Source organism: Homo sapiens, chromosome 13 (assembly GCF_000001405.40).
Source record: "Homo sapiens chromosome 13, GRCh38.p14 Primary Assembly".
NCBI lineage: Eukaryota > Metazoa > Chordata > Mammalia > Primates > Hominidae > Homo > Homo sapiens.
In genome coordinates this window covers 106,427,334-106,454,125 of record NC_000013.11, presented here as the reverse complement: position 1 = coordinate 106,454,125, position 26,792 = coordinate 106,427,334, and the positions used below count along the sequence as shown (strand labels likewise).

Sequence of the window (26,792 nt, the reverse complement as noted above, 5' to 3'; positions counted from 1 at the left end):
ATGTAGTATAACAAGAGAGTACTTATACATATATAAATAAATGAGCTATTAAATGAAAAAAAAATGAATGAATAGTGGGGCCTTAACCAACTCTGCAGCTTTCTCCATCGTGGATTTTCACGGAAACTTGCTCTAGCAGTTGACACTCGTGGTGTCTGTAGCATATTCCATAAAGAAAAGTTTCACAAAGATAAAGAAGGCTAAAGTGGGCTTCATTTTGCACCAATTACTTGGTGCAAAAGTAATTTTGGTTTTGCCATTACTTTTAATGCATTAAATACTTTTAATTGATATTCCTTTTAATAGCTCAAGTGGGAGGCATTTAAAAAAAAAGGCATTTTTCTCTTCTGAAATCCTTCCTGGTCTGAGTCTGTTTTCCAAAGCTGGAATGGGCGACTTGCCTCTTCTGCAGTCCTGATGTTAATATGAGAGACACTTACATTCGGCTTGGTTGTCTTGAGGACTACTCAAATTCAACATGTCTAAAAAACAGCTTTTCATTTCAGTGGATTAGACAAATGAATAGTGAATTGTTCATCCTACAATCCAGAAGTTTCAGCCACCCTCATGCTATTCTCCCCGACTTCCCCATATCCAATTTATCATCAAATTCTCGTGATTTTAGCTTCTAAACAAGTCCCTCAGCAGTTTCCTTCTCCCTTCCCCGTTGCCACTGCGATGGTCCATGCCGTCATTCTCTGTTGCCTACACAGCTGCTGTGGACTCCTACCTGGTGTCCTTGCACATATTTTGCCTTCCTTGTATCCTTACTCTGTGACCAGAGAGCTGTTCAGCATTCCCATCTGATCATGCCACTCTCATGCCAGGAGCCCTCTGTGGTTCCCATTTCTCCTAAGAATGGCCAGCTAGGCTCCCAATCACCTGCCTCTGTCTTCTTCTCTGGCCTCGCCTCCCTCCCTTTGTTTTTGCTCCTCAGGCACACTGACCGAATGGGCCATGTCTAGGAACCCACTGTCCCAAAAGCTTTGTAGCCTGGCGTTCCTCCTTCTCCGGTTGCTGTGAACTCCAGCTCTCACCCCAGCCCCCTAGCCTGGCTAACTCCGTTCCATCCTTCAGGTTAGATTGTTCAACATGTTTGCCATGTTTTTTGATCAATAGGGAAACCTTCTTAATTCTTCAAGACCACGTCAATACCTCCTCTTATGTGTATTTTAAAATTTATTTGGCCGGGCGCAGTGGGTCACACCTGTAATCTCAGCATTTTGGGAGGCTGAGGTAAGCAGATCACCTGAGGTCAGGAGTTTGAAACCAGCCTGGCCAACATGGTGAAACCCTGTCTCTACTAAAAATACAAAAAAAAATTAGCCAGGTGTGGTGGCGGGCACCTGTAATCCCAGCTACTTGGGAGGCTGAGACAAGAGAATGGTTTGAACGCAGGAGGCAGAAGTTCCAGTGAGCCGAAATTGCACTCCAGCCTGGGCAACAAGAGCGAAGCTCCATCTCTCTCTCTCTCTCTCTCTCTCTCTCTCTCTATATATATATATATATATATATGTATATATATATATGTGTATATATATGTGTATATATATATATATATACACATATATATATACATATATATATATGGCAATTATCATGGTTTATAAATATATATGTGTAATTGCTAATCAATGTCAGTTAACCCCATCAAACTGCGGAATTTATGAGGCTAGGACCTACCAGATACTTTGCTCATTGTTTTAAAAAGAAGGCTTCTGCTCTTAAGAAATTTATATTCCAATCAGGAAAAGTGGACATACATAAAAACCACGAGAAGTAAAATAGAAAAATATTTAGTGAGCAAAATATCTGGCTTATTTTGCTTGGCATACTGCTTGGCAAATGATGGCTATTCAATAAATATTTGCTAAAAGAGACCCTAATATATTAGGGGTGAGGAGCATCATTGTACAAGCTACTAACTAAATTCTAGTGATCATTTAATACAGGTCACATAAAAAAGCACAGAGAGGGCTGGGCATGGTGACTTATGCCTGTAATCCTGGACCTTTGGGAGGCTGAAGCAGGCAGATCACTTTACTTCGTTTTCTTTTTCCCTCCCTCTCTCCTCCTTTCCTCCCTTCCTTCCTTCCTCCATCCCTCCCTCTCTCCCTTCCTTCCTCCCTTTCTTTCCTCCCTGCTCTTTTCCTTCTGCACTCATGTTAAGAGACACATAGGATGAGTTGAGTTTGGACTGGAGTGAGGGTTAGAGACAGGGGTAGGGTGAAACATTGTCTTAGTTCATTTATGCTGCTTTAACAAAATACCCGAGAGAGGGTAATTTATGAACAATAGACATTGTTTTTTACAGTTCTGGGGTCTGGGAAGTCCCAGATCAAGGCACCCACATTGGTGTCTGGTGAGGTTCTTTGTGCTGGGTCCTCACATGGCAGAAGGGCCAAGTCTAGCCGGCTCTCTCCTACCCTTTCACCAGGCTGCTAAGCCCATTCATTAGGGCTTTGCCCTCATAACTTCATCACCTCCTAAAGGCCCCACCTGTTCACACTCTCTCACTGAGGTTCAAGTCCCAACATGAAACTTGGAGGGGGCAGAAATATTCAAACCATAGCAAACCCTTTTCCTATTTCTTAATTACTCAAGTAATCATTTGTTTAGCAAACACATTAAACACTGTGGCTGGCACTGTGTTGGGAAAAGATAAAGTGAATATAGTACCTGTAATTTAGGGAGAGACATAAGGAAAAGTGTTTGCAGTATGAATAGTTGAAAAAAAAAGAAAAGAGACTTGTGTAGGATGCTATGGGAGCATCTTGGGAAAGTGGTGAGTTTTCGGGGAGAAGACCAGGGAGAGTGTCCCGAAGAAGGTAAAGCCTGAGCTGAGCCTTCAGTGAGGTCTCAGGTGCCTTGGAGGGAGGAGGCAGGAAGAAGGAGCAGGAACCCAGGTGAGGGAACCACACGCATAAAAGCAGGGGGTGGCGATTGAGGCTTGTTCGCAGAGCTCTGGTGTCCCTTATGACCAGAGCAGAGCTCAGAAGACAGACCCCGAGTCCTTTACCAGGGATATTGGGCTGGTGATTCTCAGACACACTCAGATGCAAAGCACAGGAGAGGCACAGGAAAATGCCTGCTGTGTTTTGTAAAACTGCATTGAGTATTCTGCATATTAAACTCATAACAAATACATAATTCAGTATAAAGCAGATACCATTTTTATTTAAAAAAAAATCTGAGAAAGACAAATGGTAGTAGGTCCTGAAGGTTTAGGAACTATTTATGAGGCAAAAGCCTGAAACATATTTTATTTTGTTTTTCCAGATGAGGAAAAAATGATTTAAGTTTAGCAGTGAAACTGCATCCTGGCAGGTTAGTGTCTATAGTGAGAGGCCTGCTCCAGGCAGAGGCTGGACCCCGCTGATTTCAGGAGGCAGAGTTCCTCCATCGGGCTGTGGCTTAGTAGGATTCCTTAGGTTTGGGTTTGGGTTTGGGTTTGGGTTTGGGTTTGGGTGTGCTTTGCTAATTTTAAAGCTCACCGACATCTGTGGGAACTCCTGCCCCTCGCAGTCTAGCAGCACTGCCACTGCTGGGTAACGGGATTATTAATATTTCACCTAAGAAGGAGGAAGCATCCTGGAACAAGACAGAGGAAAGTTCCCCTTTCTAGCAAGAAAATGACTTTATTTTTGTTTTATTTTTGTTTTTTGAGACAGAGTCTCACTCTGTCACCAAGGCTGGAGTGCAGTGTCATGATCTTGGCTCACTGCAATCTCTGCTTCCTGGGTTCAAGTAATTCTCTGCCTCAGCCTCCTGAGTGGCTGGGACTACAGGTGTGCACCACCACATCTGGCTATTTTTTGTATTTTTTGTAGAGTTGGGGTTTCACCATGTTAGCCAGGTTGCTCTCAAATTCCTGGCCTTAAGTGATCCACCTGCCTCAGCCTCCCAAAGTGCTGGGATTACAGGCGTGAGCCACCACACCTGGCCTAGGAAATGACTTTTAAAAGTGCTGGAGAAATCTTATCTACTCTCAGACTGTAAGAGAGGCATACAATACTTACAAGGGGTAGACGATGAAAGTGTTTGTTTATTTATTGATTGATTTTTTCCAACTATAAAAGAAGCATGTGCTCGTTATAAAAAGATTAAAATATATATACAAAGCTTTAAACATAGAGAAGTCTGTAATATAAAAAAGTGAAATTTTCTCATATCACCCAGAAAAAACCACTGTTAAATAATTTTCCTCAGATTTAAGATAATTAATTTATGAACACGTAAATATTATAAATAATTTTAAACCAAAATGGAATCTTTCAACTGCCTTCTTTCCCCCCTTCTTTACCAAGTTCCTTGCATAACTTTCCATGTCTGTACATAAGTCTAGTTTTCTGTTAAGAACATTATTATCTTGTTTGGGTACTTTCAGTTTTATTTGATTTTTGTTTTTAACGCAGAAGATCAGTAACTGGGGAAAAAAACCGTATTTATATATCACAAAATCTAATTTTATCCTTCAGGTTTTTTTTGTTTGTTTCACATTAAGTTAATGGTAAGAATAGTTTTCAAAAGGAGAAATCATTTAATGTTTTATGTGGCAAAATGACCCAAAATTGAAGGATGGCTGGTAATAAACCCATTGGTGTTTATTTTCCAGGGAAAAGGTACTTTCTGTTGAGAAATTATTTTTATATTTCATGGATTTGTTCTTTTTCCTTCTCTTATTTGCTAAAATTAAAGTTAAAAAAAAAAAAAGCATTTGCTGGTACTGGGTAATTTAAAGAGGCACCTGCTCTGTGTTATGCATTTGTGATTATAGAAGTTCCTACGAGGCTGACCCGAAATGGGCACTCCAGGTAAGTGCCTGTGTTGGCACTCACCCAGCAGGAGCGAAATTGTTAGGGATGGGATTTTAATAAAGAAGTAGTGGGAAGGCCATGGAGCACCGCTGATATCTGGAAGCAAAATAAATAACATATTACAACCCTGCAAAATGTCTTTTCTGAGAAAAATTAAAGTTTTCTCTGTGGCTTAAAGCCTGCATGCACCACCCATGGGACCTCAATATGTAATTCTAATAGGCAAGAGTTTCATCAGAACAAAAACTAAACTAAAAGACAATGGTGATTATCAAACTGTCTTCATTTGTTTGGGCTGCTGTATTAGTCAGTTCTCACGCTGCTGTGAAGAAATACTTGAGACTGGGTAATTTATAAAGCAAAGAGGTTTAATTGACTCAAAGTTCTGCATGGCTGGGGAGCCCTCAGCAAACTTACCATCATGGTGGAAGGCGCCTCTTCACAGGACGGCAGGAAAGAGAATGAATGCAAGCAGGGGGAATGCTAGATGCTTACAAAGCCATCAGATCTCATGGGAACTCGCTCACAGGAACAGCATGGGGGAAATCACCCACATGATCCAGTCACTTCCTCCCGAGTCCCTCTCATGACACATGGGGATTATGGGACCCAGAATTTAAGATGAGATTTGGGTGGGGACACAGCCGAACCATATCAGCTGCCAGAACAAAAATACCATAAATGGGGTGCCTTATAAACAATAGAACTTTATTTCTCACAGCTTTGGAGGCTGGGGAGTCCTAGATCAAGGCACCCACAAATTCAGGGGCTGTTGAGGGTCATTTTCTGGTTTACAGACAGTGCATCCTTTTTATGTTCTCATGTGGTGGAATGGGCAAGGGAGCTCTCTGAAGTCTCTATTATAAGGGCGCTAACCCCATTCATGAGGGATTCACCTTCATGCCCTCATCACCTCCCAGAGGTCTCAGCTCCTAACTCCACCACACTGGGGATTAGTTTTCAGCCTACACATTTCAGGGGGACACAAACATTGTCTAAACACAAACAAAAGGCCAAATGCAGCAAGGCGTATGCTGTGCTAAACTGAAGTGAGACATGGTGGCTTGAGAGGGGCCAGTGTGTGGATAGAGGTTTGACCTTGTCTTTACTGAGTGCTCCTCAGAGACCGCAGACTTCTTTACTCCCCGACAGCTTCACATACACTGTTCCCTCTTCCTGGTTTCCCTTTCCTTCTACCCATCCTTCAGAGTCTAGCTTAGATTTCATCTCCCCTGTCGACCTTTTCTAATAGCCCCTGGAAGAATCCTTCCCTCTTGTGTCTGTGTTCTTGCAGCGTTTTGTTGTGCCACCTGCCTTTCCACATCATGACCCTTCTCCTCCACAGTGGGTGAGTGTCTCACGGATGTGTCTTCCTCATGAGCTCACCCCAGCTGTCCAAATAAGCTCCTGGGACGGAGTGGTTGTTCTGTGATCTAAGATTGGATGACTGGTGGGGACCAATAGGAAGGAAGAGTCAGCTTCTGCACCCAAAAGAATAATAATAATACCTATCTTGGCTGGGCGCAGTGGCTCACGCCTGTAATCCCAGCACACAAGCAGGCTGAGGCAGGCGGATCTCTTGAGGTCAGGAGTTCGAGACCAGCCTGGCCAACGTGGCGAAACCCTGTCTCTACTAAAAATACAAAAATTAGCCAAGGAGGCACACACCTGTAATCCCAGCTACTCAGGAGGCTGACAGGAGAGTTGCTTGAACCCAGGAGGTGGAGGTTGCAGTGAGCCGAGATCGCACCACTGCACTCCAGCCTGGGCAACAGAGCGAAGAGTGTGTCTTGAAAACAAAACAAAACAAAAAATCCCATCTCCTTCTATCTCTTAGTCATGATTTCACAAAGTACTTTAAGTACCTTGGAATGAACAAAAACAAGAGCTATTATTACAGAACACATTTGAACATGTTTCTTCTTTGAACCACAGCATCAAGTGGAGCCCGTGTCTCCTTGCTCCCTTACCCGATGCTTTCATAGCTTCTCAACCATTTGGTAAAAATAGATTTTCTTTTACAGCTCATCACCCATGACCACTTTTGGGGAACTCTACATATTTTGATGTTTATTTGCTGTGGTGTCAAATTTTGATTTTTGTATTTAATTTTGAATGAAAATTCTGTGTATTGTGTGTCCTCCTTTCAGAGCATTGGCCTTAATACAAGACTAGTTTTGTCTACAGTTGCATTTTTGGTCGGCTTCACAATGCCACTTAGAACATCAAAAGTCAATAGGGTGGTGTCTTTAACCAGGGTGAGATCATGTACTGCAGGCTCAGAACTGCAAGCCTGTGATTCAGTTTGTGCATGGGCAATTTTCTGTACTGTTTAATAATAGTAACACAATGAGTCCTAGGAGCTCTAGTCTTCAGGGCATGGAGTCACTGTCATAAGGTCTTGTTCGACATTTTTCTTTGAAATATTATGTTTCCCTCTTTTGAGCATCATTAAAGTTATACCTTGTTCCAAAGTCCAAAGAAGACTCTAGTTGACAATAGGTTCGCAGAAGCAGATGGGATATCGGAGGTTGTGTGGACAGTGGTTAAATGAGCAGGTTTTAGAGAGAGACATAGTGGAGTCAGGTCTGAATCCCAGTTCCAAACACTACCTTAAAATTTGTTGGCTGTTGTTCCTTGGGCAAATTGATTACACTTTCCTCACCTGTAAAATGAAGACAATACTTCCTATCTCATGTGGTTGTCATAGGAATTAAATACTGTACTTCTGTAGCTCAACCCACCAAGCAAACCAGAAAAAAAATAAATAAACACAGTACCTAGATTCTAGTAAATACACGATAAATGCTACCTGAAATCATTGATGTAATTAAAAGATGTTATCCCTGCCCTCTCTGCTCTTGTGGTATGGTATCATGTTGCCAGCCATACGCAAGAACTTCAGACTACTCCTGTGCCTTGCCTTCTGTGTATACAGCCTGGGTAATACTCTTCCCTTGACTGTGGGCTGGACCAAGTGACCTACTTCCAACAAAGAGAAGATGGCAAAGTGATGGTAATTCACTTCTGAGAATGAGTTACAAAAATTTGTGGCTTCTGTGTTGGGTGTCTTTCAGCCTGAGTGCATGCATCTTGCTCTCCCTTGAATTACTCATCCCGGGGGAGGTCAACTGCATGAATGAGCAGGAATGCACATCCTTCTGTCTCTCTCTAGTGTCCCTTCAGCTGGGCCAGAGGCAACCAGCTGACCCACACAAACTGTGAAATAAAAACTGTGCTGCGTAGGGTGCTACGTTTCTGGGTTCTGTGTTATGCAACAATAGATAACTGATATAAAGCCGTAGCTGAAGCTGTCCCAGGTCTCATGGTTGCTGGCCGGGCCAGCACTCCATGGAGATAGATGAAAATAATCCTATAAAATGTCCCTTGTTTTTTTATTTTTATTTTTTTTTTGAGGGAGATGAGCAAACTCGTAAGTGTAGCCCTTCATACTGTCACCCGTGCCTTTCTCTGCTATAGGTAAACAAAATGCCATCCACACTGAATTTCTTGCATCTCCTTGCAATGCTGTGCCATCTTTTACACCAGCACATGTACCATTCCCTCTGTATGGAGCTCTCATACACCTTTTCTGTAGGGAGACTCAGGCTTCCCCTCAGATCTGCATCACATTCCCACGGCAGGCTGTGCATCTCTTAATGACAAGTCTGATAACTGTTGCTTATTTAGCATGTCTAGTATTTGGTTCTCTCCACTAACTGTGAGTTTATTCAAGGACTGTATTTCTTCAAGCCATTGCAAGCACTTGGCCAACAGGTCCTGCATAAATGTTTTTTCAGTGAATAATGGAATGACCGCGGCTCTCACACAGCAGATTTTTTTCTGCATCCAAGCTCTTATGAAGTGCAAATAGGCTTTTCTTTATATTGTCTTAATATGTGACATGAGGGTTGTCCTTGCAATATAAACAGATCTGAAACAGAAAGAGCAGCTCAGTTACCTGACTTAGAAACAGGTTGGAGCAGAACAGTTTGGTCGGTAGATATCTATCAGAGAGTGATTGCACTGGGAACCATGTCTTAATCACACAACTTGGGGTTCAGGGGTTGCTGGGAAATGCAACGGTTAGAACAATCTACATTTAATTTGTGAATGAGGATGGAGAAATGGTGGTTTCTGTGCAGTCATTTTGTTCTCTCCTATTTCCCAAGAGGCTTGATACTTCCCTTTGTAGAGTTTGCAAATTTAAAGAATGATTATAACATTTGTTTTCAGATTGGTTATGGGTTTTGACCTAGAAACAAATTGGTCAGAGCCAGTGGCAGGGTTAGGGCCAATACACATCACTATGACAATTGCCATGTTCATCTCAGGTCTACCAAGGAATCCTTAACAGAGCCCAAATACAAAACTCAATACTAGGTACCATGTTTTGTTGTAAGCATAACATATAAAACTGACTTTTTATAGTGTAATTGCAAAATTCTGATAGACTAAGATCAATAACAGTTTTCTTTCTCACTTTCTCATTAAAATGTGTGACAAAGAAGAAATACCTGAGATACTTGGATGAAAGTCACTGCAAATACTTCAGGAACTCAAAACACCAACAGAATGAATTAGAAGCCTTCTTTTCTGCTGTGGGACCCAGAGCCAAAAATACTGGTCAATTTTCTAAGATGGGAAAAGTAAAACTGAGAGCAAAACTCTATTACAGAAAGGAACTTGGAAATTTGGCAAATATTTGTATAATTTCTACCCTCAATGAGATCTGGTTATGGATTTTATATTGATTAAACCAATGGAAACATTTGAAAATACCGACTTCATTTGGCGGGGGTGGGGGTGGGGGAAGCCTGTGAAAAAAGCAGTGGACGAACTTGGAACTTCTAGCTGAAGTGGGTGAGGCTGAGGGGAAGAATAGATATGAGAAACCATGTCTTATTCATCTCTGTGTGCCACACATAGTAGGTGTTCAATAAAATCACTGAGTGCATGAACACAATCACTGAGTGCATGAACACAGACCCTTAATTCTTAGTCCCAATGAAGGTTTCATAATCACTTCCAACTAACTTATAATTTAGATCACACGTTTAACAAATCTGCTTTAGAATATCATTTGCAATTATGTCTTATGAAAATATGACATCAGATTTCACGGTTTTATCCTGGTCTGGTGCATGTTCCTTGGTTGCCGTAGTAACGAGTTGCCATGGATTACGCTGCAGGAGTTGCAAGGGTCAGCGAAGACCAGAGCTCTGTCATTCTTCATTCAAAGGCAATTGTCCCTGAAAAATGTGACTTGCTTCAATATTTAAGAACAGGGCACTGATATTAAACAAGACTGATACTTCGGTTAAAAACCAATAATTAACCTTGTCTTCAACTCTATGTCACACTTTAATAGCAATTTCATAAAGTGGACATTCCTCTGTCTTTCATTCTTGAAGTCCTAGATAGGTTTTAAATAATATGTCTCCTGGAAAAGCACACGGGGAATCGTTGCAGTTTATTTTATGTCATTATCTAAGTAAGCCCTTGAGACCTTCCAATTCCAGCGCTTCTCTCCAGGGTAATTGCATGCATCTTGGGGAGATGTGACATGATGTTAATATTCAGAACACCATCCCTTTGAAACGATTCACAGCCTACAATGGAACACTGTCTTGGTGGCTTTCTGCAAAATTTATTTTTAGACAAGTATAGGGTATTTCCTTTCTAAAGAATAATTTTTTCTCAAAATCATAGTCTTTGATGTCGTGGGTTTATAATATGTATCCTGAAGACCAGTTTTAATTTTAATGTGGAGACTATGCAACTGGATTTTGTTATAATAAAACCCTTCAGGTTATAAATTAAGACCATCTCTGAGGCACATAACAGCTATTCTTTTCCTAACACTTCTCACTCTTTCTTCCTCACTAAATCATTTTAAATTACTGTATTGCCTTATACACTGTAGTACAGAACATGCTTTAGTTGCTTAAACTTTTTAATACCAGTGGAGTGAAATTTTGGCACACATGCAAGAAACATGTAAAATATTACTGTCTTTCAACACAAAGATTAGATGTTTCTCAAGATTTCACGTTGTTAGAAAACATTATCTCTCAAAGTGGTCAAATAATGCTAAATAGCTATTTCTTATAACAAGACAAAGTTGGAATATACATATATATTTCATTCATATATATAAATTAAAGTAGAATTATTTTTACATATTTGAAACTTTAGTTGTACATTAAAAAGTGAATTAATTATAAAAAATGTAAAAATATATTTAAAATATTTAAAATATAAGAATCTAGCTCTTTACTAACTACAAAAAGTTTAACACAAGTTTTAACAGGCTGTGTTCGGCCAGGCACAGTGGCTCATGCCTGTAATCCCAGCACTTTGGGAGGCTGAGGCAGGTGGATCCCGAGGTCAGGAGTTCGAGATCACCCTGGCCAAAATGGTGAAACCCCATCTCTACTAAAAAATACAAAAATTAGCCAGGTGTGGTTGTGGGTGCCTGTAATTCCAGCTACTCAGGAGGCTGAGGCAGGAGAATCGCTTGAACCCGGGAGGCAGAGGTTGCAGTGAGCAGAGATAGGGCCATTGCACTGTAGCCTGGGTAACAGAGCAAGACTCCATCTCAAAAAAAAAAAAAAAAAAAAAGCTGTGTTCAAATTCTCCATATATTTTTTTTTTAAAGGATAAAAGTGATTTTTCTTACCTACCTTGTTTGGTTCTAACAATCAATAAACTTTCATGCGATGCCACATTCATTAAGAGTCAGACAACATTACTGATGTTAGGAATGGAAATGATTCCAGTTTGCTCAGTTATTAAATACATTGATTATATAACAGAATATCATTTTCTTTGAGAGAAATAAATTTTTTATACTTTTTATGGAATACAGAAACTCTAGGCAAGATATTTGATTTACTGGAGTGTCTAATTATAGTTATAACTGAAAATGTTGTGAGTGAGTTATGCTGTTATTTATCCAACTTTTGAGTTTGAATCCATTTTGCAGCAAGACTGCAGAACACAGATAAACTTTGGAAAATAAATCTCAAATTCATTATAAATGATGATCTCTTCCTTATTCACCACTTCCCCAGTTCTCCCTGTCCCTACTCAACAAGTTTCAATGCAGACAAGCAGATTGACTATATTCTAATTAATAACCCAAAGACCTGACTCGTTCTTTTAAATTGCCAAAGTTGCTTTTGCTCCACATTCATCTGGTTTCAGAGAATGAAAATAATCCACAATTTAAATGAGTATATGCTAATATTACTCCTGAAGTTCTGAAACGCCTAGCTTTTCTAGATCTAGCTTTCACAGATGAAGGATAGAAGGGTTGCAGTGTTTCTTCTTGATAATTATATATTTACATTAAACATAGACTCAAACTGTGTGTTCATTCTTTAAAAATTAGCTCCAACAAATGTGGTCTTTGCAGCGCTCACCCTCCTTCTCCTCGGTGCTCCTGCTGGTGTCTCTTCTCGTGTACCCTACACTCCCTTTGATGTCAACGGGAGATCTTGAGGGGCAGAAGGAGGTTATTGAGAGGCATAAAAAGGAACCAGAAAATCAAATTGAAGGTTTACATCAATTAGTTGAGAACCAAATCATAGAGTGCACCAACTATTTATTCATTACACTGACATATTTACCAAATGTATGTTTGCCCTTATTTTAATTATGGGCATTATTATTTTATGATTGTTTCTGTTTTTCCTTTTAGGCACGGACTGGCTTTCCATATGGTGAAATCATGTTTTTAACATGTTAGTGAAGAAGGAGAAAGATCAAGCACTATTTTTTAAATAAAAGATTAGCAATTCCTTAAAATCTTTCTTTTCTTATAGGAGATAATTTGATTGTAATCTAGGTAAAATTCACAGGATTGAGCAAGCACAAATTAAGATGCTTCTAATTCAATATTATTCTTTTAAAATTGGATGCTTTTTATCTTCTCACTCTTCTTCCCTAACTATCCTTTTTCTTTTTCTGCGAGGCCGCTGGAGTGGCACTTCCTGAATGACATTTCAAGAGGACTTTCCAAATAAACGGCGTAACAAAGAGATCAAGCCTGCCGGGAAGCCAGAGCAAATTTTTTTTTTTTTTTCATGAAATGAATAGTTTTAATCATGTCTTTTCTGCCTACTCCGTATAACCTTCCAGCCTCCACCCCCACACAAATCCTAAGGCAGCAAACAAAACATTGAGACCCACTTCTTCACACCTTTTTACCAAGAAGGTTTACAATCAGTTAGGTCTCCAAGCAGGGGCATTGTTCCCCTGCACTCAAAGAGCCTGGGTCCCCATCCTCTGCCAGCTCATTGCTGTGAGAGATAAGCAGACCTCCTAAGGCTCAGTTATGATCTTGTTTTCAGTCATGCCTCCAGGATCTATAGCAATGCCAACAACAGCTTGAAAAATGGACCTGTTTTCAAAGAAGAGCTAGCTGTTGCTGTGACTGATGACTAGGGAACCTCTGGTTATTCAGGTTTTCAGAAAGGGTCAACTCTTCACTTCCAGCTAGTCTTTTCAGTACCTTGAAAATGTTAAGAAGCAGTTATTTTAGCATCAATTACACTTCTTTAAACTGCTAGGATAATTGCAAGCAAAAGTCAATGATCTCATAGGTATACCACTTTCATATTGTGAATGAGCCAGTTTGAAAAATCTTAAATCAAGGCATTTCAAACATTAAAGTTATTTTAATTCAGAGAAGACTTTTTTTTTTTTAATTGAGAGTGGAAATCTCTGGTGGGTTGCTTGAAATATTGGTTTTTAAAATTAAAAAATACCTGATAAGTGAATTTGTACCATCCCTTACGAAACAAACTTTTGATAGTCCACAAACTTTCAGTGGAAATGAATATTTTATGAAAACAAACAAACAAATGTTTCAGTTAAAATGTTTTGAGCAAAACTCCATATTCTCTTTTATTCAACTGTCCCTTCCACAATTATAGTAGTTCCCTCTTCTTAAGTCGATATTTATTAGGACGCACACAATGTTATTAGTAAGACACAGAAGCACTGTCTACCTCAGAATATCCTTGCAATTCTACTTTTAAGACTGTTGATAGTGCAACCACTTTAGACTCTTCAATTGAGCAAAACTCTGTTTCTTGGTATGAGGCAATCAGCTTTTCTGTGAGCTCAGAAATCTCTTCAATCTAACCTTGCCTTCAAATTTACACTTTATAGAAAAACCAAAGAATATGTGTACTACTTGAAGCTGTTTACCACAGTTTTTACTTGAAGCACAATTTCATGAATTTAATAAATATTGTCTAATGGTAGATTGAAGACCCAAGGCATGACTTAAATAGATACATGTTAAGATTATAAATGGGCCACGATCGCTGAACTCTTGCAATATAGTGTAACAGTGACACCTCACAGGAACAAAATAAAGATTTATAGTGAGAATGAAGCTGGCAAAATTGACCTCTGATGCCCAGATGCCACTCTCACCAACTTTATGACTTTACTGCTTCCCTCTACATCTGCTCCCCTCCCCAGTGATTCTCCTAATACACACACACATGCACACACACACATGCACATACATGTGCACACACACATACTTTCTCTCTCTCTTCCAGTTCCAATGTCCTGTGGCCGCATGCTATTTTCTTGGATCTTAGTTGGTTCTTAATTGCATGCGAAGAAAGCTGATTCTTTTTTGTAAGTAGAAAGGGATTTAATTAAAGAAATATTGGGTGGCAGAAATATTGGGAGGGTTGTAAAACCTGAGCCAAGGCTAAGCTTTGTGGGATAATGCCCACATCACCCCTCAGAGTTTACCTGATAAGGACACCGCCTCCACTGGGCTGCTCCAGTACTGCTGTCCCCACATCTTTCCTCTACACCAGGAGCTCCACTGTAACTCCTGTGAAATCACTGCGGCTTCCACCGATGACACAAAGTTGATTGTGTTAACTCCATCCCCTGCAAACATAGGGATGCAGGGCCTGTTGCCTTGTGTTGCCTGCTTCTTTGCATTAAAGTCTTGTGTGTGTCTATTTGACTGCAGAAACTTAGATGACATTCTTGTGTTCTGGTTGCACAGGAGATTGGAGAAAACTCAACTTCCTGAGCTCTACTTTGGGGAGCCAGGATTCTCAATGTTAGAAGGTTCCCAATCAAAGAGTTCTCAAGAAGGTAATGGGTCTAAGAAATTTTCTCTATAGGTGTTGAACAGCCTTGCAATACCACAAGCCGAATGATCCATCCATCCATCCATCCATCCATCCATCCATCTATACATCCCTCCTTTCCTTCTTTCACCCATCCCTCCCTTCCTCCCTTCATCCATCCATATATCCATCCATTCATCCATTCGTCCATCTATACATGCCTCCTTTCCTTCCCTTATTTATCCCTCCATTCCTCCCTCCATTCATTCATATATCCATCTCTCTTTCCATCCATCCATCCATCCATGTATACATCCCTCCTTTCCTTCTTTCACCCATCCCTCCCTCCCTTCCTCCCTCCACCCATCCATATATCCATCTATTTATCCATTCGTCCATCTATACATGCCTCCTTCCCTTATTTATCCCTCTATTCCTCCCTCCATTCATTCATATATCCATCTCTCTATCCATCCATCCATCCATCCATCATCCATCCATCCATCCATCCATTTGTTCCATATTTTAACAGCTATTGAGCATCTGAAGTGTGAGAGGGAAGCTGCTGGAAGCTCTGGGTACAAAAACAAATAAGGTGCAGAAGCAACTTGGAGGCACTGATCATCTAATGAGGAAGAAAGACAGGAGCAAGGCTGGGTGGTGTGAGCTACGGCTGGGATACCATGCAGACCGGGGTTGTGGTATCAGGCAGGGAGGAATGCCCCACAAAAAGCCCATGTGTTCCCCTGTACTTCTCGCCATCCTCACAGTGAGGTGTGGCCTGGCGACCAGTTCTCACCTGGGGACCTCAAGAGGGCTGGGCTGCAGCACCTGGTGCTTCTTGTTCCCTCTCTTCCTTCAACGTGGACACCTGGGAGACCTGTGTCCAAACTGATGTGAATGCAAAATGGAGGGCAGCAGGCAGACCTGCCCTGGGCTCTTTCTAAGCAAGATCTCATACTCTGTGTGAAGCCATTGAAGATGGCAGTGTCTTTCGGTTGTTGCAGACAGCATTAATTACCCTAATTAAAATTAGGCTGCACGGTAAATCAGGAAAGGTAGAGTTACCCAGAAAAAGGTGACTAGAAAATTTCCCCTTTCAACAATTCAGTGTAGCAAGTCAGACAGAGGAGTCTGGAGAGGAAATCAGAGGCCAGCTCTCAGAGGTCTCAGATGTGTCTTGCTATGAATTTGTTTTTTTCTTGAGGCTCGGGGGAGTTACTGAAGAATTTTAATACCTTTTCCACCTTTCCACCTGGGGAACAACTTACCAATATCCTTTGCAGCACTGAGCTAATCTGGTACACTAAAGTCTGCTGTGGCTAATAAAAAAGGATCAATCTTTCAGCCTTCCTGACTTTACTAGTTCAAATATGCAGTGCTTTAAGTATTATACAATTAGCCCATGAGGGTCTGCCTTGTGTAGGGTAAAGAACAACTTGTACTGAACATTGCGGTGCTCTTCAAATCACATGGAGCATCTCGTTTACTAGTCCAGCTTTGAGAAGACCAAGATATAACAACAATAAATTTATAGACCTTTTAAAAATGATGCTGAAGAAGTTCAGCCAATTCTCAGTGGCGCTCACCTAGGTCCTAAAGCATTTTACAAGGACTGTACGTTTTTCACATATAGCACGTGAACTATAGAAAATGAGTTTTTATCCTGTGGGAGAGGAGAAAGAGATCAGTATTACAGTTCCATTTTATTATATAGAAAAAATGCATAAATCCTAAATATTGGGAGTGAATGTTAGAGAAAAAGGTATAATTTGCAGTGTTTCATTTACTATCATAAAAAACCACAGAATATGAAAATTAGTCTAATGTACATATGCGATTAAAAAATCTATGTCTTCTTGATATTGTAACTTCTACCTGTGGTTTCAAATCTTCATTTTATTATATCTTTCTTGAACAAGTTAAAAGTCATAGTTTAGCAAGTTTGATGTCCTCGGAATTTTCTATTTAGCTCTATTTAGAACAATTAGTAACTCCTCTAAGGGTTAACACTGGAAAATTCTTTACATTTAAATTCTAAATCACAACATCCATTTATTCAAGACCTTATGTAATTGGAGATAAATGAGTTTGCATTAGTTTGCTAAGGCTGCCATAACAAAGTACTATAAACTGAGTGACTTAAAATAGCAGAAATGCATTGCCTCACAGTTTTGGAGGCCAGAAATCAGGATGTCAGCAGGGATACATTCCCTTGGAAGACACTGGCGCAGGATCTGTTCCCAGCTTCTCTCCTTGCTTCTGGTGACCTCAGGCATCCCTGAGGTCTTGGAGATGGTGGAGATGGTGGTGGTCTTTCCACTGCACCTCTTCACACCATCTTCCTTCCATGCATTCTGACCCATGTCTGGATTTCCTCTTTGTTTAAGGACAGTCTTACTGGGTTAGGGTTCACCCTGATGACCTCATCTCATCTTGATTATCTGCAAAGACCAGACACTATTCCCAAAAAAGGTCACATTCACAGCTCCTGGGGTTTGGACAGCACCATCTTTTGGGAACACAATTTGACCCATAACAATGTGTGTATTACTCAACTTTCACTAAGTTATGCTGGGTTACAACCCCAGAATCTCAAGGACTTAGCACAAAGACTTAGTCTGGCTCTCACGGGATGTCAGTTGCAGGTAGATGCGACATTGCCTGGCTCTGCTCTGCCTGTCTTCATTGCAGATCCAGGCTGAAGGATAAGTCAAGTCACCGTGCCCAGCCTAATTTTCTTCTGGTAGTTTCTACAGCCCAGAATCAAAAGTGGGGACAACTCATGGCTTAGTTTCTGACAAGGTGGGTTTAGAGGATGTGTGAATTCTGAGTGCTGGGAAAATTTTAATTGAAATGGTTGAACAGATGTGGTCTCAGGCTGGGTTGTCACAAAAATATCATAAGGCTTGGATGTCAGTGAGTGAGGGGTACACTTCTATTACAAGGAAAACAGAATAATTGGTAAAGATAGCCTACCATGATGTACAAAGACTTTTTTTTAATGTGAATGAAAGAAAATAATACTTTCCTTCTTCTGCCCCACCCCACAATATTTGTATTCATTGACCAATTACTTTTCTGATACTAATTTAGAAAATTGAACTCAATTTATACAGATACACCTAACACTGCTTACATTTACCACTCAATAGATGATGTTAATGAAGTGCTAGGATTGTGTAGGAATCTAAGCATTTTCCCTGGAAAAGTTTTGGAGGTTAGATTACCATCAGAAGCAGGTTAATTGATCAGTGACTACATAGGTGCAGAATGGTAAAAGGGTTAAGAGTACAGTTTCTGGAGTCAGAGTCCTAGAAGGTCAAATCCCTGCTTTACCATGTTCTAGTTGAGTAGCCTAAGCCTCAGTTTCTTCATCTGCAAAATAGGAGGAATGGAAGCAGCTGCCTGCCATGAAACACATTCGTGGAAGTGGCTTAGTGCAGTGCTCAGCAAGTGTTCTTACAGCTGTGGGGATTGTTTCCTTCCAGTCATTCATCCAGCAAGTACTATTAGTCTCTTTATGCCAGTTGCTGCACCCAGCACTAGTCCCTGTAGTGGTGCCGTGTGGGTGGCATAGACTTTCTTATTCTTTTTTTTTTTTTTCCGAGACAGAGTCTTGCTATGTCACCCAGGCTGGAGTGCAGTGGCGTGATCTCGGGTCACTGCAGCATCCGCCTCTGGGGTTTCAGTGATTCTCCTTCCTCAGCCTCCCAGGTAGCTGGGATTACAGGCATGTGCCACCACACCTGACTAATTTTTTGTATTTTAGTAGAGACGTGATTTCACCATGTTGGCCAGGCTGGTCTCGAGCTCCTGGCCTCAGGTGATTCGCCTGCCTCAGCCTCCCAAAGTGCTAGGATTATAGGTGTGAACCACTGCGCCCAGCCGACACAGACTTTCTCTCAGTGACTGTGATAGTCCCAGGGCTGGAAGGGGGCAGAGGCGCTAGGATGGAACAAGAGATGATGTCACCAAATGGTGTTGACAGCCATGTGCAATAAAAATACACATGTATATATGTGAACAACAGGATCACACTCGCTGTGACTGAGACAATGTGGGAGGCCACAGGAGCTGAGACTGGACGAGGAAACAGCATACGCCACGGTCACTCCTCTCAGCTGTCCGCCAGGCTCAGTGAGTGGATGGTCAGCATAAAGTTGTAGCATTTTGTATCAAATTGAATTAGTTATTCTTTCATTGAAGCTGGTACATCAAATTTATGTTAATTAGGCCGGGTGTGATCTCACGCCTGTCATCCCAGCACTTTGGGAGATGAAGGAGGGTGGATCACTTGAAGCCTGGACAACATGGTGAGATTCTGTCTCTACTAAAAATATGAAAGTTAGCTGGGCGTGGTGGCGGGCACCTGTAGTCCCAGCTACTGAGGAGGCTGAGGCAGGAGAATTGCTTGAAGCCGGGAGGTGGAGGCTGCAGTAAGCCAAGATTGTGCTACTGCACTCCAGCCTGGGCCACAAAGCGAGATCTGTCTCAAAAAAAAAACAAAAATGTTAATTAAATGTTTGAAAGATGCAGCTCCCTTGTAATGTATCAAAGTTGTGTTGTTACCATTAATCACTATTAAAAGGAAAAGCCTTCTGTGTTTTGTTTCTGAGGGGTGGTGGTAGCGATGGGATCTAATCTGAAGAATCCAAAACCCCCAAACCTACTTTCATGGAGAACTTGTAGGGTCTGTGGACCACAGTGCCCGCCGCTGCCTTACAGGGTGATGCTCACGCCATGGCCTGGACCCAGAGTCTGAATGCATGACCAGGTGAAGGAAAGGGGAAGAGGGAGGCCACCAGGGGAAACATCAGGCACCTCCGAGGCTGGTTCTCTATGAACAGAACAATGACCCTCTGGGAAAAGAAAGAAACATTTAGAACTATCTTTTGTTGGGTGGTGGGGGATGGAGTCTCACTCTGTCGCCCAGGTTAGAGTGCAGTAGTGTGATCTCAGCTCACTGTAACCTCCGCCTCCTGGATTCAAGCGATTCCTCTGCCTCAGCCTCCCGAGTAGCTGGGATTACAAGTGCCAGCCACCATGCCCGGCTAATTTCTGTATTTTTGGTAGAGACAGGGTTTCACCATGTTGGCCAGGCTGATCTCAAACTCCTGACCTCAGGTGATCCGCCCACTTCAGCCTCCCAAAGTGCTGGGACTAAAGGTGTGAGCCACCATGCCCAGCCTAATTTTCTTCTGGTAGTTTCTACAGCCCAGAATCAAAAGTGGGGACAACTCATGGCTTAGTTTCTGACAAGGTGGGTTTAGAGGATGTGTGAATTCTGAGTGCTGGGAAAATTTTAATTGAAATGGTTGAACAGATGTGGTCTCAGGCTGGGTTGTCACAAAAATATCATGAGTAAGTGGTCATAATACCTTGTAATTGATTGTAGTTTCCAGTTTCTCAGGGGCTCATGGGAGCCCCTGTTTGTTTGTATTTTACATCCAGAAAGGGACTCATGGGAGATGAGAGAGGGGATGAGAATCAAAGGTCACACTGAGAGTAAACAGGAGTGAGAGTAGGGGGTTGTAACCGGGGGTGGGGGAGGGGGAGAAGAATTTCTGAGTTTAAGATGGTGGAGATGGAGTGGCTTCAGGTAATGCTGAGGTCTAAGGTGTGGCTGTGAGTTTTGGTGCTAGAGGAGGGTATAGCTGAAGGCCACTGGAGGTTGTTGAAGTGTGAAGCTAGCCGTTTGCAAGGACCATTAAAATAAATGGCTCCCAGGACACTGCAAAGAGAAGAGTGATGGGCCAAGTGTGCAGATCCTCAAGGCATGTGGGTGAGGAGCAGACACCGGTGGAGATAGCACTGTGGTCAGGGAAGTGCTAATGGAATGGTGTGGACTTCAAAAGAAACCAGCTGGGGCAGAGAAGAGATCAGAGGTCAAGAGGTGACAGTAGCCGATTTGCCTTATTTTGGAAAACTGTAAAATGGGGCAACTCTGAATTCCACTTGGGTTAGTAAGAGAACAGCACATCAGAGGAAAAGAATGGTGTTGTTCCAGAAGTTGTTGACAATAGATTGAGGAAAAAGATGCTGGGCTGATGATAAATGCTAGCAGACAAACAAACAAACAAACTAAAACAACTGCAAACAGATGGGAGGTGGCAGGAAATTAGGTTTAATGTATTAAGACGCCTGAAGACGGACGGCTTCCAGGCTGACGGATTCAGTCTTCCCTCTTCATTCAAACACCCACATTCTTCCCGTTTTCCCTTTTGCTACATGCACTGTTTGGCTTGTTCTCAAGTTAATTCTTCTTCCATAGTGGGGAGAAAAGTTGTGTTAGAAGTGACCAAATCCTCTAGGAATTTTAGGAGGCCACACCCAGATGAAAGGTAGGTTCCTTCCTGGTTGTCTATATCAACAAGGAAATGTTTCCCAGATGCCTTTAAATTTCTTCTGATGTCATCATTAACTACATCTGCATCACACGTCTATTTCTAAACCAGCCACTGCCAAGGAGAAAGGGATTGCCACCACTGACTTTGCAAAGCAGTTTCCCATGAATAGACAACATGTTGTATGAAAAAATTGAAATTCTGTTAAAAGGGAGAAATTGTTGAGTAGACAACCAATAGCATCTGCTATATTTTATGTTAAACAAAATAATCACACAGATGTCATTAAAATCTGACTACGTGTATATGTATTACCAATTGGATAAATAAAAATGGAATTGTAATCTACTTCAATTTAGCTTGTGCTCCCACTGAGCCACCAGAATTACTGTTGCTAAAGTTACGATCATCTGCAGAACTACTAGGTCCTTCACAGTAAGCATCGTTCTTGACTTTTCGGCAGCAATCTGTGATTTGAGTTTTCCCGAGATTGTCTTTTCTCCTGGCTTCTGAAACATCGCACCCTTCTGCTTTTCCTCTTCCCCCTCTACTTACTCTTTATATTTTTTCTTTGCTTGTCTATTCTACACTCGTTGTTCTCAACAAGGGGTGATTTGGGGCCCCAGGGGACATCTGGCAAAGCCTGGAGGCATCTTTGGTTGTCATAATTAAGAGGAGGCTGCTAACATCTCGTGAGCAGAGGCTGCGATGCTGCCGAACATCGTGCCATGCACAAGGCTGCCCCCACAGCAACGATTACCTGGCTCCGTATGTCAGCAAAGCCAAGACTGAGGAAACCTGAACCAAGCTTCCTCTAACAGGGCTCCTCAGGCGCCAGTGCTGGCCGTTCTCTTCCCATTCTACCTTCTCTCCTCAGATCATCTCATCTTTTCCCACAGTTTAAAACACCATTTATATACCAACAGAACCAATTTTATTATATTTTCAGATCTGATTTCTTTTCTGAGTTACAAGTCTAGATGTTTAACTGTCTACTCAAAAATTACATTTAGGTATTACACAGGCATCTCAAACTTAGTATTTTCAAAACTTATTTGACCATTCATCCCAAATTCACTCCTCTTCCTCGATTCTTCATTTCAGAAGGAGTTATTATTCACCCAGCTGTGGAAACTAGAGGCCCATAAGTCCTTCCTGAAGCCACCATTTCCACAACTATCACCACATTTGTGGTCCAACACTGAGACCTACTGCTTTTAACTCCAAAATTACCTTGGCTCAGGCCCCACCTGACTACCACCTCCCTACTTCTGGCACTGACACCTCTTACTTTTTTGTTTTTTTTGGTAGACCATGGGTCTTGCTATATTGCCCAGGCCTGTCCTGAACTCCTGGCCTCAAACAATTCTCTTGCCATGGGCTCCCAAAGTGCTGAGATTACAGGCATGAGCCCCTGTGCCCAGCTCACCATCACCCCTTAACTGGCCTCCTGGCATTGCCTCCGTGCTGGTCTCCAGACATTCACTTCTACTGCCCTCCAATCTGTTCCCCAAATATTATCGAGGCAGGCCTTGTGAAGCTAGACCACGTCACACCCATTGCACTTTTGATAGAAAACCTAAAATCCTCAAGTCAACCTATAACCCTCCTCTCTGGCTTGTCTTAGATGTCTCCTGTTTGTGTTTCCTAGAGCTCCCACATTAAAGTTCAGTACCAAAAACGAGGTGCCTTCCACAACAGAAATGTATGATACCCATGTTCTAGAGGCTAGGAGTCTGAGACCAAGGCGTGGGCAGGGCTGTGGGGGAAGCGTCAGTTCCAGACCCCTCTCCTGGGCCTGTAGATGGTCTTCATGTTCACATGGTTGCCTCCCTGTATGCATGTCTGTCTCCAAATTTCTCCTTCTTATAGGGAAACCAGTCATGTTGAATCAGGCCCTGACCTAATGATCTCGTTTTAACTTGATTAACTCTATAAAGACCCTGTTTCCAAACAAAGATCACATTCATAAGTACCAGGAGTTAGGACTCCAACATAGGAAGTCTGGGGAGACACAACCCAATCCATCACACCCCTCTTAATTATTGAGGATTTCTGTATCTGTTTCTTCAGTCTAGAAAGCTCTATTCCTTACTCTCCGCTTCATTAGCATCTATTTCATTCAGCAGGCAGGACCCAGGTTAAATGTAGCTTCTTCCGACAGGTAATCCTTGATGCCTCCTCTAGGTGAGGTCCCCTGTGACATTCACTCATAGCACCTTCTGCTTTGACTCCCTGTGCTTGTAGCAATTCTAAATTATATATTTAGGTGGGGATTCTTTTTTCTTTGCTGTGTTCCTCTCCTGCATAGTTTATAAGTTCCATGAAGACTAAGACCATGTCTGATTTGTTCATCACTGCATCCCCAGTGCCTACGAAGTGGTCTACAGAAAAGTACTTAAACATTATTGACTGAACGTGAATTAAAAATCATTCTTAGTCCTCTTCTCTTCCATCTTCACCTCTGATGCCATTTTTTTTTTCTCAGAAGGAACAGTTTTCGCATTTTCTCACTAGTGTTTCTAGGTAAACCACAGCAAGCTGAGCACACAAAGCTGTTGACGTGGAAGCTGGGGAGGTGGGTTGGATTCCTCACTAGCCAAGTGACCTTTTACCACCCCAAGGTCCATGATTTACGTCTGTTTTTCAGAAAGACCACTAATGACTATGTCCTATGAACATTTACGTTGCCTTTTTATTAACCCACAAAGGTTACATCTTTGAATGCCAAAGTTCTTTCAAATGAAAGTTTATGAAAATTGTACCCTTGCCTGCAGTAAGGCCAATGCATATATAGATTGAATAAATGCATGTGAATTTTCTTTGCTTTTTCTTGGTATTGTATCAATTCAGTTTGATAACACAAATTATTTCACACTGATTAGAAGAGACTCACTTTCTCTCTCTCTCTCTATATATACACACATATAGATACACATATATACACACATATGTGCATACATATACATACATATATGTGTATATATATCACATAGGAAAGCAAATATGTTGTTACTAATAAACTCAAGTAACTTAGTATAAAAGCTTTCCAATACATAAAGTCCATGGAAGGAGGTTTCCTCTTGGGGGTGGAGTGGGCTGGAACGTTGGCATGCAAGGCAGGTGCAGCATAACTGATAGCAATGTCTTCATTTGGACCGGAAAAGTCAAGGAGAAAGAGTTGTACCAGTCTTTCAATAGCTTCTACAGATCCATTAAACTTAAAATAGATTGATCTCCAGAGACAGTCAACTTCCCGGACACAGCAATTACAGTGAAAGATGGCAAGCCCAAGACATCCATTTAATGGAAACCTACTGCCCAATACAGCTGCCTCCATAATTCCAGTTCTCATCCTGTGCAGGCTGCTTCTCCATCTCTGCTGCCAAACTATTCAGTGCCAACGTGTTCTCCAGCCTTAAAAGGCAGAGAGGGATGAATTTCTGAACTTTAAAGGATGTTCATCTGGAAATGAGGCAAACTTAGGATACTTTGAAAAACATTAAATCAACTTTAAAAAAGGAAACAAAGCCTAGGAAAACAAAATATGGGTTAGGTGACATATACCAAGACAATTGGCCTATGCACAGTTACTTCGAAGACACTGGAACAATGCTTAGACCAAGTAGCTCCAATTTACCCAAGGAATGAAAGCAAAAACACATCATTATATATTTTTAAAGGTCTGTTTTATGAAAAATATATTCTGAAATAATATCCATCAAGTTAAAGTTGGATTCATGTTTAAGTGGTAGACTTGAAAGAAACTTTTATAAGCTACATAGAGTTTGGTTAGGTATAACATATTCATCCATGTTTAAAATTAATATTTATTGGGAACCATTTAAAGGGCAACTTATCTTCCAAAGATTGGAGGAATGTCAGAACTGAAATGGTAATTTACAGACCATCAGATCTTCTCCCACTTCCTCAAGAAATGGAGATCTAGAGAGAAGACACTCATTTATCTGTCCTGTGTTATAGTAGTTTGTTATTAAAGAATACTATTTTTCTCCTGAAAATAAATTCACAAAGTGCCTAACCTAGGTAGCAGCAATGTCCCAGGGAATCTGGCTACTCTTCAAAGACTTTGAAAGTCGTGTGCATTTTCTGCTGGGCGCGCAGCCCTTCTGGAACATGTCAGTATGTTATTCTTCAGGGCATCGTGCAAGACCCATTGCCTATGGCTAATAGTCTCAAATGTGTATGGATGGATTGGAATTCTCTGCTGACCACAAAAAGGCATGTGTGTTTTGGTTCAATGTACTTTTAATAGTTAGAGACCTCGTGAAAATAAAAAATGTTCTAAAGTTATAAAGATGTATGTGAATATTGCAGTTAAATACAATAGGCAATTGTAAATAATTTAACTTTAAATAAAAAAAAACCTGACAGCCAAGTCTAAGATTAAATAGAATGTTTACTTTTCTCCCCAGTTTATAATTCTCTGTTCTCTTCCATTCCTCATTTACAAGCCAAGTTCCATACTGTTAGCCAATAATTTTGTATTTTATATTCAACACATTTAATTTTCCTAGAGCTATGAAATATCATTTACAACTTTCCACAACTTATTTGACTATTTCTTATCAATTTTGGATCCATAATTGCTTTCTCACACCTCTTGTTGATTCATCAGATTCTGTCTAGATGAGGCAGTCTTATTGCTGCAAAGCTGTTTAGTCATTATATTGAATTAATGCAACGATACGCCCCATGCACCAGAATTCTCACCTAGGAGCTTGTATTTACAGCTTCCATTGCTTCCTTAGTGTCATCTTCTGGTTATTTATTTATTTATTTATTTATTTATTTATTGAGACCGAGTCTCGCTCTGTCGCCCAGGTTGCAGTGCAGTGGCGCGATCTCAGCTCACTGCAACCTCCGCCTCCCGGGTTCAAGCGATTCTCTTGCCTCAACTTCCAGGTGCCTGACATCATGCCCAGCTAATTTTTGTATTTTTAGTAGAAACAGGGTTTCACCATGTTGGCCAGGTTGTTCTCGAATTCCTGACCTCAAGTGATCCTCCCGCCTCAGCATCCCAAATTGCTGGGATCACAGACACGAGCCACCGCGCCTGGCCTGTGTCATCTTTTTAAAAACCATTAAAGAGAGGAAAATGTCTAAAGCTGTGAGTCTATTTGCTGTTAGCACCATTGGCAGCACATGGAAAGTAACACCTATGTTTCCTGAGTGCTTTCTATATGCTACTAACGTTTCTAGGCTTTTTAAATGTTTTTGTTCGTTTGATCTACATTTTAATAAAATTATTACCATCTTCTTTAATAAGCCATTTAAGTTTCATTATGTTTGAATAGAATACGTGCTTAGAAAAAAATCAGTTTGGTTTCTTCTCCTAAGCCCTCAGACTCAGTAAAGAGTGATATATGGTAATGTCTGGTTGAACTCATATGTTAAAAAGAAAAACACCAAAAGTTTGTGATCTTGTTCTTGGCAATCTCCTGCTCAGGAAACATCAATTCCCAGTGCTTGGGTTTCTAAAAATGATAACC

At 41.2% G+C, this 26,792-nt stretch overlaps 1 pseudogene, besides 1 other annotated feature; it reads right to left on the bottom strand.

Annotated features, from left to right (window-relative positions):
• Positions 12,210 to 20,787, bottom strand: RPL35P7 (ribosomal protein L35 pseudogene 7; annotated as a pseudogene).
• Positions 12,827 to 13,328: an enhancer, noted in NCBI's record as "NANOG hESC enhancer chr13:107093146-107093647 (GRCh37/hg19 assembly coordinates)". NCBI's record gives its function as "activates a minimal SCP1, AML or CMV promoter by ChIP-STARR-seq in naive and primed H9 embryonic stem cells {active_cell/tissue: H9 hESC(naive and primed)}" and the evidence as "EXISTENCE:reporter gene assay evidence [ECO:0000049][PMID:30033119]".